At 43.8% G+C, this 19,185-nt stretch overlaps 1 protein-coding gene and 1 long non-coding RNA gene across 9 annotated transcripts in view, besides 1 other annotated feature; one reads left to right on the top strand and one right to left on the bottom strand.

The window, feature by feature from the left end:
* The window catches only part of CCDC60 (coiled-coil domain containing 60), a 206,312-nt gene that overhangs the window by 61,755 nt on the left and 125,372 nt on the right, over positions 1–19,185 (bottom strand). For all 5 annotated transcript variants that reach the window (NM_178499.5, XM_017018912.3, XM_017018913.3 and 2 more), the window contains exons 3-4: positions 7,122–7,292; positions 85–192 (exon numbers count right to left, since the gene is read on the bottom strand). In NM_178499.5, the coding sequence (NP_848594.2) occupies positions 85–192; positions 7,122–7,292 (279 nt within the window). The remainder of the gene's footprint in view (positions 1–84; positions 193–7,121; positions 7,293–19,185) is intronic.
* Positions 1–19,185, top strand: part of PRKAB1-AS1 (PRKAB1, TMEM233 and CCDC60 antisense RNA 1) — a 280,141-nt gene that overhangs the window by 188,842 nt on the left and 72,114 nt on the right. The gene's annotated exons all lie outside the window — the stretch shown is intronic.
* Positions 15,695–15,895: a silencer, noted in NCBI's record as "peak2000 fragment used in MPRA reporter construct". NCBI's record gives its function as "represses an SCP1 promoter by STARR-seq MPRAs in K562 erythroleukemia cells {active_cell/tissue: K562}" and the evidence as "EXISTENCE:reporter gene assay evidence [ECO:0000049][PMID:32103011]".

The raw sequence follows: 19,185 nt of genomic DNA, 5'->3' as shown, positions 1-19,185 counted from the left end.
GACATGACAGCTCGTTGAGTCATTTCAGTTCGGCTTCAATTTATAAGCTAGCAAAGCAAATGAGCTGGAGGTGAGACTACTTACACGTGAGCCTCGGTTAGCGAGGGAGAAATGATGCAGCTGTGGATGGGAGTGAATGGGCGACGTGTGACTCTAGCTCCCAGTGTCTTCAACTTCTCATCATCATATGTGCTGAAGGACAAGCAGACAGAGAAACAATGTGAACAATGAGCAGTAGCTTTGAACACCTTCTTCTCTTGCCACGGTCTATTCGGCAGATATGACTGGACACTTACTATGTATCAGGCAAATAATTTCTGCTGGAGGGATGAGGGTTTCAGATGCAGTTCCTTAACAAAGCATATAAAAGTCCCTGCCCTCGGTCGGGTGCCGTGGCTCATGCCTGTAATCCCAGCACTTTGGGAGGCCGAGGCGGGTGGATCACAAGGTCAGGAGATCAAGACCATCCTGGCTAACACGGTGAAACCCTGTCTCTACTAAAAATACAAAAACAGCTGGGCGTGGTGGCAAGTGCCTGTAGTCCCAGCTACTCGGGAGGCTGAGGCAGGAGAATCTCTTGAACCCGGGAGGCAGAGGTTGCAGTGAGCTGAGATCGTGCCATTGCACTCCAGCCTGGGTGACAGAGTGAGACTCCGTCTCAAAAAAAAAAAAAAAAAAAAAAGTCCCTGCCTTATGGAGTATATAATCTCTAGAAGAGCCAAGAGAATAAACAAGATAAATCATGCGGCATACTAGTATATTATACTAGGGTTGGAAATGTTTGCTTCAAGGGCCAGACAAGGTATATTTTCAGCTGTGTTCTGGAAACAGCAATTTAATACCATATTTAGGTGTTTTTTCTTTCACCATTACAGCAGAGCAAATCATTTCCGTTATAGAAAATAGGATTTTTTTTGGGGGGGGGTGGTTGTTGTCATGCTTGAGTCATATGATATATATAGTTTGTTTGTTTGAGACAGAATCTCACTGTCACCCAGGCTGGAGTGCAGTGGCGTGATCTTGGCTCACTGCAACCTCTGCCTCCTAGGTTCAAGCAATTCTCGTGCCTCAGCCTCCCGAGTAGCTGGGATTACAGGCATGTGCCACCATGCCTGGCTACTTTTTTGTATTTTAAGTAGAGATGGGGTTTTGCTATGTTGGCCAGGCTGGTCTTGAACTCCTGTCCTCAAGTGATCCACCTGCCTTGGCCTCCCAAAGTGCTGGGATTACAGGCGTGAGACATTGCACCTGGCTGTGGGGTATATATTTTTCTGTCCATGGCCAAATTCAGCCCACAGATATATTTTAATTAATCCACTCTCTTTTTCTCTCTCTTTCTCTCTCTCTCTCCTCTCTCTCTCTGTGAGTGTGTGTGTGTGTGCGTGTGTGCAATTGAATCAATTGTCTGTATTTTAAAATTGGGAGATGTCACATAAAAATGAAAAAACTTTGGCCTTCAAAAAATTGAAAGCTCTGGCCACTCGGGACCTGTGTTTCTACACAAGAATGATGGGCCACAGACTGCTTTGAATGAGGTGTGTGCTTCTTCAGTTACCCCAAACACAAGCATCCCTGTTCTCACTCTCTGCCTTTCTTTCTAATTCATGCCATCTGCCTGTTACCTGAAGGCCTTTTAGTTTCTGAGCTGCAGTGTAAGTACTTTCATTGATTGGATCATTGACAGGTTCCCTGATTCATTCATTTCTACCAATAATTATTGAACCTCTTCTCTGAGCTGGGGGCTGCCAATACAGCAATGTATGAAACAGATGCAGCCTCTCCTCTTCCGAAGCTGAGTCTAGTGGGGGAGATGGGTACAACCAAACACACAGTTGTGATAAGTGTTCCAATAGAAAGTGCTTTAATAGCCTAGAATAGTAAATTTGACTGAAATGGAAACCAGGGAATACTGTACTTCCTTGAGGAAGTTGTGGAAATTTCAAAACATGTCCCCCAAATTCTTTGAAACTTCTCCAATCGAGAGGTAGGTCTATGTTCATTTGGCTCTGTGACCAGCTGACCTAACAGAATATGTCAGAAGTCATGTGATTCCGGGCACCAGGAACTGGCAACCTCTCCTTCCTGTGTCCTGGGATGCTCACTCAGCATTCAGCTGCCATGCTGTGGGGAAGCTGGCAGCCTGTGAGGAGGCCCACAGGGAAAGGAACCAAGCTCACGAACTGACAGCCAAATACAACTTGCCACCAATGTGAGTGAGCTGTCTTGGAAATGGGTCCTGTGAGCTGCCCCTCTGAGCCTTACTCAAATTGCAGATTTATGAGAGAAAGAAGTTCTGATTATCTTGAGTTAATAAGTTTTAGAGTGGGTGTTCATGGCAATAGTAACTGTAGCAGAAGTAAATATTGAGCTGAAATCTGAAGGTTGAATGGAAATTAACTGGGTAAATGGAGGAGGGAAAGACCTTCCAGCCAGAGGGAACAGCATGTGTAAAGACTCTGTAGAGGAGGCCATGTCATGAGTAAGAAAGTAGGAGAGTGTGGCTGGGTAGAGGGAGTAAAAGGAGGCTATGAGCTGGGGCTGGAGAGGCAAGCCACAGGCTAGACCATCCAGGGCCTTGGAACCCCTGCTGAGACTTTTGTGTTTACCCTGTGAGGAATGGCAACCATGGAGGGTGTTAGGCTGTGTGCAATTTATATTTTGAAAAGATCACTTAGCTTGGGGCTTAGTGTGGGGAATGGGATGGAGGGGGCCAGTGGAGATGATGCTGGGACACACGTTAGGGGTTTACCTTCCTCCTGGGAATTTGAGGATAATTCTGGAATCACAGAGTTAACAAAAATTAGGACCAGAATCTATGTCCTCCAATGTTCACTTCCACTGACTCTTTATTCAATCCTAGAGCTGAGAAAACCACAGCAAATACCTTGCTGTGACCTTTTCTTACTGGCTCAACCATGCTTCCAGTGGTTTAGGATATGTGGAAATTAACCCAGCTTTTACATCCCTAATCTCTGGTTTTATGTCTTCTCTCAACCACAATAATAAAACAAATTTTACCCGTCACTTTTTTTTCCACCTTTTCAGCTGAATCTGCAGCTGAAAAATGAGGTCACTGAGCACAGTGGGAAAGACTGCTTGCAGGCAGAAATCTTTGGGGATGTGCTTGATTTTTTTTTCCCTGCATAGTTTGTCAGACTTAAAATTTTTGTCTAAAAGAATGTATTCTATGGTCTTAGATCCAGAGAGGAGAAAATAATTCCTTTCGCTTTTATGATGCACAAGATCAAATACTTTGTTTAAAAAGTATTTATAAATGAAACTTGTATTTTTTATACTTTTGTGATTGGAATTTTATCTATAGAAGCATTGCTGTTAGATGTGAGATGCTTTTCAGCTTTCATGGAAATTAAGATTTTTAGCCATACATTTAAGGATTTTAGGTAACTGAGGCTCAGAGAGCTCAAACTCACTTTATTGCGTCATAATAGGAACAATTACTGAGCATGTCTTATACGTAGACTCTAGGCTAAGTATCATTTCATTTAATCCTCATAATAAGCTTGGGAGTTTGGTACCATTTATTTATGTACGTGAAGAAAAGGAGACTCAGAGAGGTACAGGGATTTGTTCAAAGTGAAACAGTTGTATGGGGGAAGTCCTAACGGGTTCCAAGGCTTGTGTACTTCACCACTACTACCCTGTCTGGGTGTAGACAATCTCCTAATGCTGTTTTATAACACCCTCCCACCCGCGCATTTGATGGCTACATTGCTGTAATGACTTCCAGTTTTATTTTAATAACCAGCCTTGTATAACTCATAGAACCTACCAGATAAGACATAACCAGACCAAAGTCTACAAGAGGAGCGATCTCATGCATATTTAAACTTATTAAACTTTAAATAAATCATTTCTCACACACTGAAACATGGATTGGAGAGGGGAGAATTGCGTTCTACGACCATGGATGAGAAACTCCATCCAAACAAGTGGAACAAGACACCCAAGCCATTTAAACAGGTACAGGAGTGTCTTTCATAGACACCATCTTTCCCCAGTGCTTTTTGGGTTTGCCTGTCAATCTGAGCATAGCTCCTGAAAAAAGAGCCATGAGTTCATGCCTTCTCTTTATTCCAGGGAAAGGCTGCCAGTCTGTCACTAGGAGTATCAGAATCTATGGGTGCCATTGAGTTTGGTCAGGTAGGCACAATTTGTGCTGATCCCAGGGTCTACACCAATGAGGAGTCAAAGAAGAGACCCTTTCCACAATATTCTGGGATCCCAACAGCCATGATTCTGGGGGAGGTGACTGGAAATATACCAGCTCCATGAGGTCTTGCAGTCTGGGTTCTCATCCATCACCTGGAACCCTGGGCTTTAAAGAGGTCCTGTTCTCCTCTGACTCAATACCCCAGGCCTCATAGACAAGAACCCTTGTTCTACTTGAAAAAATTGTATATATTTTTCTTTTTTTTCCTTAAAGAGAGATGGAGTCTCTCTATGTTGCCCAAGCTGGTCTTGAACTCCTGGGCTCAAGTGATCTTCCTGCCTCAGCCTCCCTAAGTGCTGGGATTACAGGTGTGAGCCACCACGCCTGGCCTGAAGAAAAATTTATTAAGGTGAAAGTCACAGAACATAAAATTAACTGTTTTAAAGAGTAGAATGTAGTGGTATTTAGTACATTGCACCATGTTGTACAACCATAACCTCTTGGTACAAAACATTTTCATCACTCCCAAAAGGGGACTCCAGACCCATGTGGTCACTTCCCATTTCCCCTGCCCCCAGCATCTGGCAACCAACAATCTGCTCTCTGTTTAGGATGAACTTCAAATGCACTATAAGTGAAAGAAGCCAGACACAGAAGAGTCACATAATATATGATTCCATTGACAGGACCCTTGTTTATAAGAAGCACATATTCACATTCTGTAAATTAACATTCTCAAGAACAGAATTTGGGAAATGGTGCAGAGGAAAGTGGGTATCTGTCGTGGCTTCCATTTCATTTTTGGCAAATGACCTGGCAGTTTGGATTCCTGAAGGCAGCCTTAGCCTAACGGCTCTCAACTGTGGCTTCACACTGGATTCGCTTAGGGGAACTTAAAAAAATTCTATGAATATCCAAGCCAACACCTATTCCTTTTTATATTATGGCCGTTCTTTGCAGGAGTAAGGTGGTATTGCGTTGTGGTTTTGATTTGCATTTCCCTGATAATTAGCGATGTTGAGCACTTTTTTTCGGGAATGTAAACTAGTACAACCACTGTGGAAAACAGTATGGAGTTTCCTTAAAGAACTAAAAGTAGAACTACCATTTGATCCAGCAATCCCACTACTCAGTATCTACTCAGAGGAAAAGAAGTCATTGTCTGAAAAAGACACTTGCACATGCATGTTTATAGCAGCACAATTCACAATTGCAAAAATATAGAACTAGTCCAAATGCCCATCAATCAATGAGTGGATAAAGAAAAGGTGGTATGTATATACATATATATATACACCATGGAATACTGCTCAGCCATAAAAAGAAACAAAATAATGGCATTTTCAGCAATCTGGATGGAGTTGGAGACCATTATTCTAAGTAAAGTAACTCAGGAATGGAAAACCAAACATCGTATATTCTCATTCATAAGTGGGAGCTAAGCTATGAGGATGCAAAGGCAAAAGAATGATATAATGGACTCTGGGGACTCCTGGGGGAAGGGTGGGAGGAGGGTGAGGGATAAAAGACTGCACATTGGGTACAGTGCACACTGCTTGGGTGATGGGTGCACCATAATCTCAGAAATCACCACTGGAGAACTTATTCATGTAACCAAACACCACCTGTTCCCCAAAAACTATTGAAATAAAAAAAAATTAATCTATGAACAGCTAATGTATATTAGAGAGCCTAATGTAACTGACCTGGACAGTGGTGTTTTTAAAAACTTGCCAGATGATTCTAATATGTAGCTAGGGTTGCAACAGCTGCGCTCACAGGAGAGTGGCTACAGCTGCAGGCCATTTTTCTACCCTGCATTTCCTCCCTGGCTGCCTTGGCACTTCCTTTCCATCCTTGGTTTGTGCCTCATTCAGTCTGCACAAGCTCAAAGTATCCCAGGATTTTGTCCACGCCAAATGGTGCAGTCGATGGATTTTGGTGCCACTAAGTTTGGGACTCAGAGCTGCTTTCTAACTACTGACCTTGGGGGAGATTAGTTAACTTCTAAGCCTCATTTCTCCATCTCTAAAATGGGGCCAATGATAGCACCTATCTCAGGAATGTTTTGAAATTTAGCCGAATAGGTGTGCATTAAGCACACAGTAAACATCATCATCTGTTTTTATTGTTATTTTGGTTATTACTATTATTATATGCATGGGCATTTCATAATGGACCAGTCTATTGATAGTCCTTTTCCAACCAGGGGAAAGTCCTTTACAAAAAAAGGAGGCCGGGCGTGGTGGCTCACACTTGTAATCCCAGCACTTTGGGAAGCTCAGGCGGGCAGACCACAAGGTCAGCAGTTCGAGACCAGCCTGGCCAACACAGTGAAACCCCGTCTCTATTAAAAATACAAAAAAATTAGCCAGGCGTGGTGGTGGGCACCTGTAATCCCAGCTACTTGGGAGGCTGAGGCAGGAGAATCGCTTGAACCTGGGAGGCAGAGGTTGCAGTGAGCCAAGATCACGCCGCTGCACTCCAGCCTGGGCAACAGAGCGAGATTCCATATCAAAAAAAAAAAAAAAAAAAAAAGGAGGCATTTTTTATGCACCTGGTTTCTGTGGACAATGAGCCAGGCCCTGGGGCTGCCACTGAAGGTATGGAACAGAGATACTGATGTGGACTAAAACTAGCATATAAACACGTATTATGGGGACCTGGAGTGCAAATGGGTGCAGGAGGTGGTTGGACTGAAATCCAGGAAGTATTCGGAGAGAGCAGCATTTAAGCTGGGTGGTTAGTGATAAGTGGAAGATGTTCCAGCGAATACCAGAAAGCGAGGCTATCAAGGTTGGTTGGACCACACTAAAGAAGGTGTTAGATGCCAGGCTGAGAAGGGGCACGTGCTCTGAGATAGCTGCCCTCGCTTGACCTTACCAGGCAGGGTTCACTCTCAATGGTCATTCCCAAAACCTTCAGTGCCACAGCTACTGCATCCACTTACCTCAATAAGGTGTCCCCATAGTGGATTTCTGAGATCTTTTCGGCTGGCTGGAATTTATTTCTTTCCTCCTCTTTCAGTTTCTGAAGTTGTTGTTGCTTCTTTTTCTTTGCAGTCTCTTCCCTCAGAATAGCAAAATATCCACGGCCTATCTTCACAGACTGGATCAAAAAGCTGGAGACATGCAGGGAGGAAGAGGGAGAGAGGGAGGAAGGTGGGAGGGTGGAGAGAGAGAAGGAAAGAGAAGGAGAGAAAGAAAGAGAGAGAGGAAAGAGAAAAGAGAGATAAAGAGGGATAGAGAGAAAGAAACAGGTAGAAATAGAGAAAGAGAGTGAGAGAGGGAGAGGGAAGGAAGGAAAGAGAGAGAGAGAGAGGGAGGGAGGAGAGGGAGACACAAATTTAAAAAAAAGATGAGTTGACTCTTATTGTCTTGGGACCAATAATCTCTGAGCGTGCCCTCGTGCCTGCAGGGCAGGAGCCTTCCCACCTGTAGATTTCCAGACTCAGCCAGACCTGAGTTTGAATTCTGGATCCACCTTGTACTAAAGACCTTGGCCAAGTCCTTGAATCTCTCTGAGCCTCATTTCCTTCATCATCCCATCACTCAACAAATGTTTATGGAGTGCCCACTTACAGCACCAGGCAGTCTGCTAGGTGCTGTGGAATGAACATAACAATTCACAGCCTGCAGGATCAGATACCATCATGCATGGGAAGGGGTCAGCAGTGAAGTGCTTGGCACAGAAGATGGGCTCTTCCATGAAAATCAATGGCATAGCAGGCACTAAAGGGCCTAGGCTCCTGGCTAAGGCTGCCCTCTCTTTGATTTGCCTAAATGCTCACATCTGTCAGCATGACTGCTACAGAAGTTCAAGTACTAATGTGTGGGTTCTTGCTGTGTCAAATAACATATGTTGGGACCTCATAATTCTTTTCATGCCAACTCAACCACTATTTCCTAATCAGATGTCTTGATGCTGGCTTGATGTGAAGACATTCTCAGTCGTGATGGGCTACACACCTCCCTGCGCTTTGCCAGTCTTCACCTTGGGGTTGGAGTTAGCAGCCCTGTGGTGGAGAAGGAGTGATGCAGAGGTGTCTACATGTTTCTTTCTGTCTGCCCACTTTGTTCCTAGATGTAAATGTTGGTTCTCAAATTCAGTTTTATTTGTTCTCCAAATTCCTAATAAGCAACCATCAATTTTATTTGTTCTCCAAATTCCTAGTAAGCAAGCAATGTGTGTTGGGTATTGTACTGACTGTTGGGGATACAGTGATGAACAAGACATTGGGTCCCTCAGGGTTCATGGTTCAGTAGGAGAGAGGGAGAGAGAGATACATGATGTCAATAATAGCACAGGGTAATGGGAGAGGCAGGACTCTGGGCTTTGGGGAAGGGGGCACCTAATTGAGACTAGGGGGAGGCTGAAGACCTCTTCCTGGAGAAAGTAGGATTTTCTTTCCCTGTTTGAAGGTGGCCTCTTCCTCTCCTCTCATGTCTCTCTTGTGCTCGGTTTTGCATGGGAATATTCCCAGCCAGCTGCCATGGCCAGACTCATATGATTAGTTGACCCCTGCTTATTTGCTAAGACGAGCTAAGGTGTTATGAAGGTCATTTCATTTCATCGGGGGACTCTTACAAATGTCCATTGGGAATATGCTGGGAGGCGGGAGGTCGGGATTTTCCAGCATTTTTCAAATCACATCACATGGGTGGCAGCTAAGTGATAACATTTCATTCATTCATTCCTCTGGCTGACCTTGGCTGAGAACCTGCTATTCCAGGGACCAGTTCAGGGGACTGGGGCTGCACAAAGCAATAAGATAAAACATTTACCCCCCAAGGAGTTCACAGTGTCATGGAGGAAGAACACCCACAAACAGATACTCTCAACCTAATGTACCAAAGGGCTATAGGAACCTAGAGAAATCTTGGAAGGCTTTCTGGAGGAGGTAGTATTTAGGCTAAGTAGGAATTCACCAGTAGAACAAAGTGGGACATGGCATACCAGTGGATGGAATATCAGGTGTAAATGCAAAAAGGTGAGTCTGATGATGGCCTCTTTAGGGAACTATAACTATCTTTAAAACACTGGAGCACAGAAGAGTGGCTAGAGCTAAAGCTGACAATGCAGGCAGGAAACATGGCGCAGGGCCTTGGGTTCTTAAGTGAGCCTGGATTTGGGAATTGCTTGGACTGTACGTAAAAATGCTTCAGGAATCTGCAAATGTCTGAGTTTTCATTAACAGCTATTAAAGCTATTAACAACACCCACAACACAAAACATTCTGTTATATGCTAGATCAATTCATTTTGTACATTTCTATTGCATCGGCCTGTGTTCACTAATTCTGAAAGGCCCATTTTTTCGCATCTCAACTTCCTTGACGTGAAACTGCATCTTACAATCATTGGCCATTCACAATCACTGCCAGCTACGTGGCAGTTGCTTTGCAGTTGTTGTGGCCTCTATAGGTTTAAATTTGGTTGTTACTCCTGGTAGCCTGACTGCACAATTGCCCCCGCTGGGCAATAAATCACTGGACCAGGAGTTTGAAGTCTGAAAAGTCTTTTTCTTTGACATATTCTTATAAAATCAAGGAAGTAGGCTTGGTGTGGTTGTTCATGCCTATAATCTCAGCACTTTGGGAGGCCGGGGCGGGTGGATCACTTGAGGTCAGGAGTTTGAGACCAGCCTGGCCAACATGATGAAACCCCATTTCTACTGAAAATACAAAAATTAGCCAGGGTGGTGGCGGGTGCCTCTAATCCCAGCTACTCGGGAGGCTGAGGGAGAATCACTGGAACCCGGGAGGCGGAGTTTGCAAGGAGGCGGAGGTTGCAGTTAGCTGAGATCACGCCACTGCACTCCAGCCTGAGTGACAGAGTGAGACTCCATCTCAAAAAATTTTTTGAAAAGCAAGAAAGTGCCATTATAAAAACTTTCAGACTTGGGTCTGCAGCTGGGAAGAAATCTTGGAGACAACAGAGGAGCATCCTCTTAAGAAATGTTCCACAGGACATTGTTGACTCTGAGTGGAAGAGTGATTCTGAAGAGTTGGGCTTTGAATGTGAAGAAGTTTGAGGAATACCTTAACCAATGTATTTTACCTGTGTTTTCCTTTTGGTTTGAACAGAATATATAGATATAAATGGAATATTAAAAAATTATTTAAGTAGGTAAAAAAGGAGCTTTTCTTAAAAATTAGGAAATAATATATATATTTTTTAATTTTTAAAAAAATTTTAATTTTTGTAGAGATGGGGGTCTCACTGTGTTGCCCAAGCTGGTCTCACATTCCTGGCCTCAAGTGATCCTCTTGCCTCAGCCTCCCAAAATGCTGGGATTACAAGCATGAGCCACTGCACCTGGCCTAAAATATTTTTACAAAATAAAAATTCTAAGTGATAAGAAAGAACCATCTTATTTTAATTGACAGTGTTTTTATTTTGTTATGTTAAATTTTTTAAATAAAATTCTTTTCATTGTTTAGTTTTTCTTTTTAGTGGCATATCTTAGATTTGATGGTGGTTTAGACTCAATAAAATGCTGTATTTTTGCTCTTTATGAATGTGCTCCTGGAAGATTACCACTGAATGTTTTCTAAATTTAAATCCTGCTTCTCAGCTCATGTAAAATTTTTTGGATGTTTATGCCACATGTCATATATCCATCCCAGACAGTCAGTTGCAGGCAAGGATCAGTCATATCTGCTCAGCTCATGTTCTTGTCATTGCAAAATAATCTCTCAGTTTTCTTATGTATAAAATTGTGCAAAAGCAAATGAGTGGGTAACCTGTTATCACTTAGTAATGCCATATTGTCAGTTATAGGTGCTTTTGCCTGGCTTTTTTTTAAAAAATTTTTATTTTTTAAGACAGCGTCTTGCTCTATCGCCCAGGCTGGAGTGTAGTGGTGCGATCTCGGCTCACTGCAACCCCCACCTCTTGGGTTCAAGCAATTCTCCTGCCTCAGCCTCCTGCGTAGCTGGGATTACAGGCATGTGCCACCATGCCCGGCTAATTTATTTATTTATTTATTTTATTTTTATTTTTAGTAGAGACGAGGTTTCACTATATTGGCCAGGCTGGTCTTGAACTCCTGATCTTATGACCCACCCACCTCGGCCTCCCAAAGTGCTGGGATTACAGGCATGAGCCACCGTGCCTGGCTGCCTGGCTTTTATATTTAAGTTTAGGAATGTGAGCAGTGAATATGAGGTGGAATTCATGTTTGAAACAAAAATATGCTTCCATTTTGCTTTCAAGCTTCTGAATTGGTGAGAGTCCTGAAGCTGCAAGGGAACTTGATAAAAAGAAAACCGTTAGCGTTTGCAACCTCTTAACTTCACACATGAGGATTTTTCTCTGTGTAGCACAAACAAAGCAAATGCAGAAATAACCTGGGAGGTGAGACTGATGTGACAGCAACTGCTTTTCATTGTCATGCCACTTTACAGAGATGGGGTGGACTCTGTTTCAGTCTGCTTTGGCTGCTGTTACAAAAATACCATAGACTGGGTGGCTTAAACAACAGAAACTTCTTTCTCACAGTTCTGGAGGCTGGAAGCCCAAGATCAGGGTGCCAGCATGGTTGGGTTCTGGTGAGGTCCCTCTTCCAGGTTGGAGACTGCCATTTTCTCACTGAAGCCTCACATGGAGGGAAGAGAGCTAGAGAGCTCTCCAGAGTCTCTTTTATAGGGGCACTAATCGCATTCACAAAGGTGGAGGCTAATCACCTCCCAAAGGCCTCAACTCCTAATATCATATTGGGAGGTGGGTAAGGATTTCAACATATGAATTTGGTGGGGGGACACAAACATTCAATCTGTAACAGACCCTTCACTGAAAATTTGTTCAGAAGTCAAGACTGATACTGATGCAGGGCAGGCATGCCCAAAATTGGGGCTTAGCCTAGGAGGGTGCTTGGCTTCACCCAGGAAAGAATCAAGGGTGAGCTGGTGGTAGAAGAAAACAGCTTTATTGAAGAGGCGGTGTTACTGCTCCATGACTGCACCTGCAGAGCAGGGCCACCCCACAGGCAGTGTGCTGAGAGCAGCAGCTCAGGGCAGTTTTGCAGTCATATTTATACCCACTTTTAATTACATGTAGAATAAGCGGTAGTTTATGCAGAAATTTCTAGGGAAAAGGTGGTAACTTTTGGGTCATTGTGTCATTGCCATAGAAAGGGGCAGTAACTCCCAGAGTGTTGCCATGGCAATGGTAAACTGATGGACATATCTTATGGAAAGGTGCTTCTTCCCTGTCCCTGTTTTAGCTAGTTCTCACTTTGGTCTGGTGTCCAAGGCCCACCTCTGGTGTTAAGTCCCACCTCCTACCTCAACACAATGCACACACCAAGAGAATATGAAATGGGTTATTACTCACATAACTAGATTTTCTGGGGAGAGCAGGGAAGTCTCCCAAGCAGGTCTTCAAACTGCCTGAAAGAGCAGGAAGGGACCAGTGGCTTGGGGTTTTATGGTGGTTAGGGGGTGAGGTAGTGGTTCCACATTTGGAGATGATTTGAACTTCCCACCAGCATCAAAGGAGGGTGCACCTGGGCTTTCTTATCAACTTGCCCAGATATAGGGCAGAAGGGAATGGTGTGGTGGGTGAGGATGGAGTGTTGGAGCTTGAAATCCATCAGTAGTCAAATATCAAGAATGGAGTCAGATTCTTTATTACACGGATTAATCCCAATTTCCAATTTGTGTGTTTGCCTAAATAACTGCACCATTATCAACCGTTCAATGAAAATGTTCAACAAATATTTGGTGAATGCTTATTACGTACAAAGCACTATGTGTTGAGGATGCAGCAGTAAACAAAATAGCTGTAGAGTTCTGGCCCTTATGAAGCTCGTATTCCAGAGGGTGGAGACAGATTCAAAACTAAGAAGTAAATGGTACCCAAAGTGCCAACTGCTATGGAGGAACAGAGCAGGCAAGTGGGACGAGATGCCAGGGATGAGGGGTGTCAGTGCATTTAGAAAAAGATGGTCAGTGAAACCCTCACTCAGAAGGTGATGTTTGCAGAAAGATGTGAAGGAGGTAAGGGAGTAAACCATGCAGATACTTGTTGGGGGAAGAGTATTCCAGTAGCAGGAACAACATGTGCAAAGGCTCTGAGCAAGTACGATTTTAAACTAAGAAAAGTTTCGTTTCCATTGAATAAAATGTTATATGACATCATATAATACGATGTGTGCTACCAAAATGTTGGCTTTGCACGTTTTAGAAATTGGTGTTGTTGATGGAAATAAAACCAAACTCTGTAAAATATTCCAAAGAGGTTTATGCCAGTATGAGTGGCCATGGTCTGGAGAAAACACAAGCCCAAGGAGCCTTGAGTAAGTGGCCCAGAGGCAGTCAGAATGCAGCTCTGTTTTATACATTTTTTTTTTTTTGAGATGAAGTCTCACTCTGTCACTGAGGCTGGAGTGCAGTGGCACCGTGTCAGCTCACACTAACCTCCATCTCCTGGGTTCAAGCAATTCTCCTGCCTCAGCCTCCTGAGTAGCTGGGATTACAGGTGCCCACCATCACGCCTGGCTAGTTTTTATATTTTTAGTAGAGACGGGGTTTCACCATGTTATCAAGGCTGGTCTTGAACTTCTGACCTGAGGTGATCCACCTGCCTCGGCCTCCCAGAGTGCTGGGATTACAGGTGTGAACCACCTCGCCCGGTCTGCTTTATACATTTTAGAGAAGTAGAAGTTACAGTCAAAGTCATAAATCAATACATAGAGGCTTTACATTGGTTTCACCCAAAAAAAGGTGGGATACCTGGAAGCTGAGGCTTATAGGTCATAGGTGGGTTCAGAGATTTATTTTTTTATTTTTATTTTTTTGAGATGGAGTCTCACTCTGTCACCCAGGCTGGAGTGCAGTGGTGCGATCTCGGCTCACTGCAACCTCCGCCTCCCGGGTTCCACGCCATTCTCCCGCCTCAGCCTCCTGACTAGCTGGGACTACAGGCGCCCGCCACCAGGCCTGGCTAATTGTTTTTGTATTTTTAGTAGAGACGGGGTTTCACCATGTTAGCCAGGATGGTCTCGATCTCCTGACCTCGTGATCCACCCGCCTCGGCCTCCCAAAGTGCTGGGATTACAGGCATGAGCCACCGCGCCTGGCCCAGAGATTTATTTAATTCGTAATTGGTTAAAGGAGCAAGAACTTTATTCAAACACTTGGAATCAGCAGAAAGGAAAGTTGAAGTTCCTGGGGGTTGGACTTCAATGTATGAATTTGGGGAGGACACAATTGAATCCATAACACACACATTTCAGGATCCAGTAGGCTGCAGTTTCTGCACATCATCATGTAATATTTTGCCAGAGTTGGGTTGCAAGAGCAAGACATAATACATTGGATCGGAGTGACCTGTAGTTCTGCATGACTTAATCCTTGTCCAGTGTAGCTTTAGGTCCTGTTTATAATTTGGTATCTTACTGTCAGTCAGTTTCATCAGTCTTCTGATCTCTATTTTAACATTAATGGTGGGCAGCTCTTGTGGCTAATTTCCAAAAGGGACGGAGTACAATGAGGTGTGTCTGACCTCCCATCTTGTCATGGCCAAGAAGTCAGTTTTTAAGGTTTTTCGGGGGTTCCCTTGGCCAAGAGAGGGTCTATTCAGCTGGTTGGAGGGGGCTTAGGATTTTATTTTTAGTTTACAGTGTTCTACTTAAGACTTTTGTTTGACAGAAAGGTTCTTCTCTGGAAAAAGAAGAAAGGAAAGATGGAAGGGAGGGAGGGAGGAAGAGGAAAGGGGAGGGAAGGAAGGAGGAAGGAAGGGAAAATGGGAGGGAGGGAAGAAAAAAGGAAGAAGGAAGGAAAGAGGAAGTAAGGAAGAGTGGGGGGGGGGTTGCTCTTGCAACCCAACTCTGGCAAAATATTACGTGATGATGTGCAGAAACTGCAACCTACTGGATCCTGAAATGTGTGTGCTATGGATTCAGTTGTGTCCTCCCCAAATTCATACATTGAAGTCCAACCCCCAGGAACTTCAGCTTTCCTTTCTGCTGATTCCAAGTGTTTGAATAAAGTTCTTGCTCCTTTAACCAATTACGAATTAAATAAATCTCTGGGCCAGGCGCAGAGGAAGGAAGGGAAAATGGGAGGGAGGGAAGAAAAAAGGAAGAAGGAAGGAAAGAGGAAGTAAGGAAGGGAGAGAGGAAAAAAGAAAGGAAGAGAGGAAAGAAGGAAGGGTGGGCTGTGTGTCCTAAGCTGGAAAGGTAGGGAGAACCAGGTAACAGTGATGGTCTGGGCACCTGCCTCTCGACTCCTTTACTCCAGGGTCCTACTCCAGGAGGCCATAGACTTTACCATTTGAATTAAGAAGCTCATTTCTAATAACTCAGTCTAACATCTTCATGTGCAGGGCCATAAGAACAGAGCTGTAGAGGTCCCTCTCTGCCACTGGACTTCAATGAGACTTCTCAAGTGTTTCCAGTGTACACTTGAGATGCTGCAAAGCATTCACATAAGAGCCCTTTTTAAGGTGAACTCGGCACTGTTGGGATTTCGCGTCTGCGGTAGACCTTAGTGCTTCTTACCAGCAGTTTTGTGCCTCACTCTCCTGATCTTTCCATTCTTGGGCACGTGTGTTAATGTATTTGTCCTCACAATGACTCTGTGTTTTAGGTGCTATTATTATCACTTCCATTTGAAGATAAGGAAACTGTGGTCAGGAAAGACAAGGTCACAGAGCTGGAAAGAAGCAGAGCTGAGGTCTGAACCCAAGTGGTGAGTTCACTGTAGAGCTCAGCTGTGCACTGCGCTGGTTGGTAGATGGTCAGGATGTTTCTGGATGTGGCTGGTCACTCTGTCCTTTCGGAAGTCCCACCAGCATGGGCCTTGATCTTGAAGTTTCCATGAGCCACTGGGTCAAGGACTAACTTGGGTGGTTTATCACTGACTGGTAGGTGCCAGGGATTTGCTGTTGTCCAGATTCTCTCATGGATTGGAAGGCTGTCAGAGTGACCTGTTGGATCCTGAGACAGACTGTGGTCTGTAGGGGCAGAGAACAGAACAGGCACTGAGGCTAGGCGTGGCAGCTCATGCTTGTAATCCCAGCACTTTGGGAGGCCAAGGCGGGTGGATCACTTGAGGTCAGGAGTTCGAGACCAGCCTGGCCAACATGGCGAAACCCTGTCTCTACGAAAAATACAAATATTAGCTGGGCGTGGTGGCAAGCGCCTGTAGTACCAGCTACTCAGGAGGCTGAGGCACAAGAATCACTTGAACCTGGGAGGCGGAGGTTGTAGAGAGCTGACATCGCATCACTGCACTACAGCCTGGGCGAGAGAGCAAGACTCTGTCTCAAAAATAAATAAATAAATAAATAAATAAATAAATAAATAAATAAATAAATGAAGTTAGTTGGGCATGGTAGCATATGCCAATGGTCCCAGCTACTTGAAAGGCTGAGGCAGGAGGATCACTTAAGCCAGGAGTTTGAGGATGCAGTAAGCTATGACCATGCCATTGCATTCCAGCATGGGTGACAGTGAAATCCTGTCTCTAAAAAAATTCTCAGTCTTTACCTCTGCATCTCGGTCATTTACCTTTTTGTAGTAATTAACAAGTTGGTAAGAGATTTTTTTCAACTTATTCATGCTCTCATTCTAAAAAGAATTAGAAACAAGAAAATTTTTTTTAAAGTGAGACAGGCAGAAGGCAGAAAAAAACAAGAAAACCAAAATCAGGTAAGACAGGTAACAAAACCCATGCCACATAATCTGGTGCATAAATTTGGCCCTGAGCATCCTAGTGGCTGAGGCAAAGAGGTAAACACAATCCTAATGTGATTCCTAATGGCTGAAGATTTTTAAAAAGCTGTTTAGGAGATGCTGGGCTGTTCCTGGTGCTGCAAATAGGAAGAGACTTCTTTCAAGGAGCTGTACAGGGAGCATACGGTAAAAAGCCAAGTCTGTAGCAAACCCCTAGATACAAATAGAGTGATAAATGCTTGTCTTATCAATTAACTCCACAGAAAGAGACAGGGCAGTCACTGTTGGACAATTTGAGAAACCTAGCAAGCAAATCTTCTGGTGGAATTTCAGCCCCTCTTCAGGCAAGGCAGTCAGATGTCCAGCTGCCAGATCTTCTGGAAAGGCCTGAGTGACAGATGAATGTGGTTAGGGGGAGGGTCTGGGCCTTCATGTCAGACACACCAGTCTATTCTGGGAACTTCAGGCTGCAGGATGTTCATTCAACGAGCTTGGGAAGTGCTCCCTTGATACCGCGGAGGCCCATTTAAAAACGCTTAATATTTTAGCAAATTCTCATTTAATTCCGTGTGTTCCCTACATTTTCTTCATCATTATTGCTGATTACCAGGCTATTTGTGTGAAGGGAGCTATTTGCAGGGAAGAGCAGTTTTCGCCTTTAAATCCACTCACCTGGGGCCTCCTGCTCACTGCTTTGTGCGATGTAAAACTCCCCTGGCTAACATCACAAGAGGAACGATGGGGAGTAAAATAATTAACTGCATCAGGCAAGAGGAGGAAAAAGCAGATTATAAAATGGAAAGTTTTCTCTATGCAATACAATTTCTTCTCAACCAGTGCATGGGAGAGGGTGGGTTGTTATTATTAAGGAACGTATGTTCTCTGTATGGGAGTCTGTGTGTGAGCTGATGAGAGGATGCTTACTGCAGCAATAGGAGTATTCTCAGCAGGGCTTGGCCAAGACAGACCAAAGGGACAGAAGGAAGGAAGCCTAGGTTTCATTTCTAAGCACCTTTGGACTTGAGGAGCAGTATGGGCGATGGGAAGGTGTTAGAGGGGATTGCCTCTGGCTGGACTCTACTTTTTCATTCCCTTAGGGTGGTTTTAAACCTCTCTGAATCACAACCCCTTCATCTTCAAATGGGGAAAATATTAGTTCCTCCCTCAAAGGGCTATTGGGAGGATTAAATGAGACAGTAAAGATAATGAGTTTACTGTAGTACCTAGTACATAGGGCTCCATAATGGGAAGCGGTTGTTATCGTCAGCTTGCTTAACAGTCCTGAGAAGTTGGAGTGATTTACAGATGAGAAAACAGAGAAAAGGTTAGGTAAATGATGGTCATAACAGCTGGAATGTGGCCAAGCAGAGATCGGAAGACAGTAGGGTTGATTCCAGAATTTCTCTCTCTCTATTTGCATGCTCCAAGCATAGGTATGTTCAGTAGAAAGCTTTAAGGCTTTGAGTTTATGTACCTCTGGGCTGTTTGTTTTGCAGATTTCATTTCTAGGTCTGTAGAATAGGAACAAATGGCTTACCTTTTCCCCCTTTAGACCATGTTTTTACCCAATCCAAAGCACCATCTGTGGCAGATTAGGTCATTATTGAGCAAATACTCTCTTCCTCTCCCATCCCCTACATTCAGGGTTGGGATGTATTTTCTCAGTGTCCAGAATTTGGACTTGGACATGTGTCTCCTTTGGTCGATGGGATATTAGCAGATATGAATTGAATGAACACATAAAATGAGCTTTCTCAGCTGGGTCCGTGTGAACAAAATCCACAACGGACCCAGAAGAGTGAGAAGACATTGAACAGACCTTTCTGAACCCAGCAATTCTAGCCTAGCTCAGCGAAGGCTGGAGCAAGAAAGAAATATGTGTTGAAAATCATTGAGTTTGGGGGCAGCTTGTTACACAGCATCATGATGAAAATAGCTGACTGGTGCATCATCCATTGTAAAATGCACCATTATTTTATGAACCACAAAGAAGAAAACACAAAAACACATGTCAATTAAATTAAGACATGATTGTACATTGCATTCCAAGTTCAGAGATGATAAAATGTGCAAAAAATGTGCTTCTTAGACATGATAAAATATAGTATTAAGAAAGAAGTTGCCTCAGACCTAAGAAAGATGGCCTGGAGTAGGACCTGGAGCATGATGTAATTAACAGCTCCTTCTGAGAAGTATCTAGCAATTGTGATAAAATATCTGAGCAATTTTCTGATATTCTCTGTGAGATTAAGAGTCTTTTCTGCAGCATTGGATTTACCCGTGGTGCTGGCCCGACAGACTTACAACAAGACTATTAACTATTAACTATTAAC

Source organism: Homo sapiens, chromosome 12, assembly GCF_000001405.40.
Source record: "Homo sapiens chromosome 12, GRCh38.p14 Primary Assembly".
In the NCBI taxonomy this organism is placed as follows: Eukaryota; Metazoa; Chordata; class Mammalia; order Primates; family Hominidae; genus Homo; species Homo sapiens.
The sequence above is the reverse complement of the archived record's forward strand: the minus strand, read 5'-3'. Positions and strand labels throughout refer to the sequence as shown.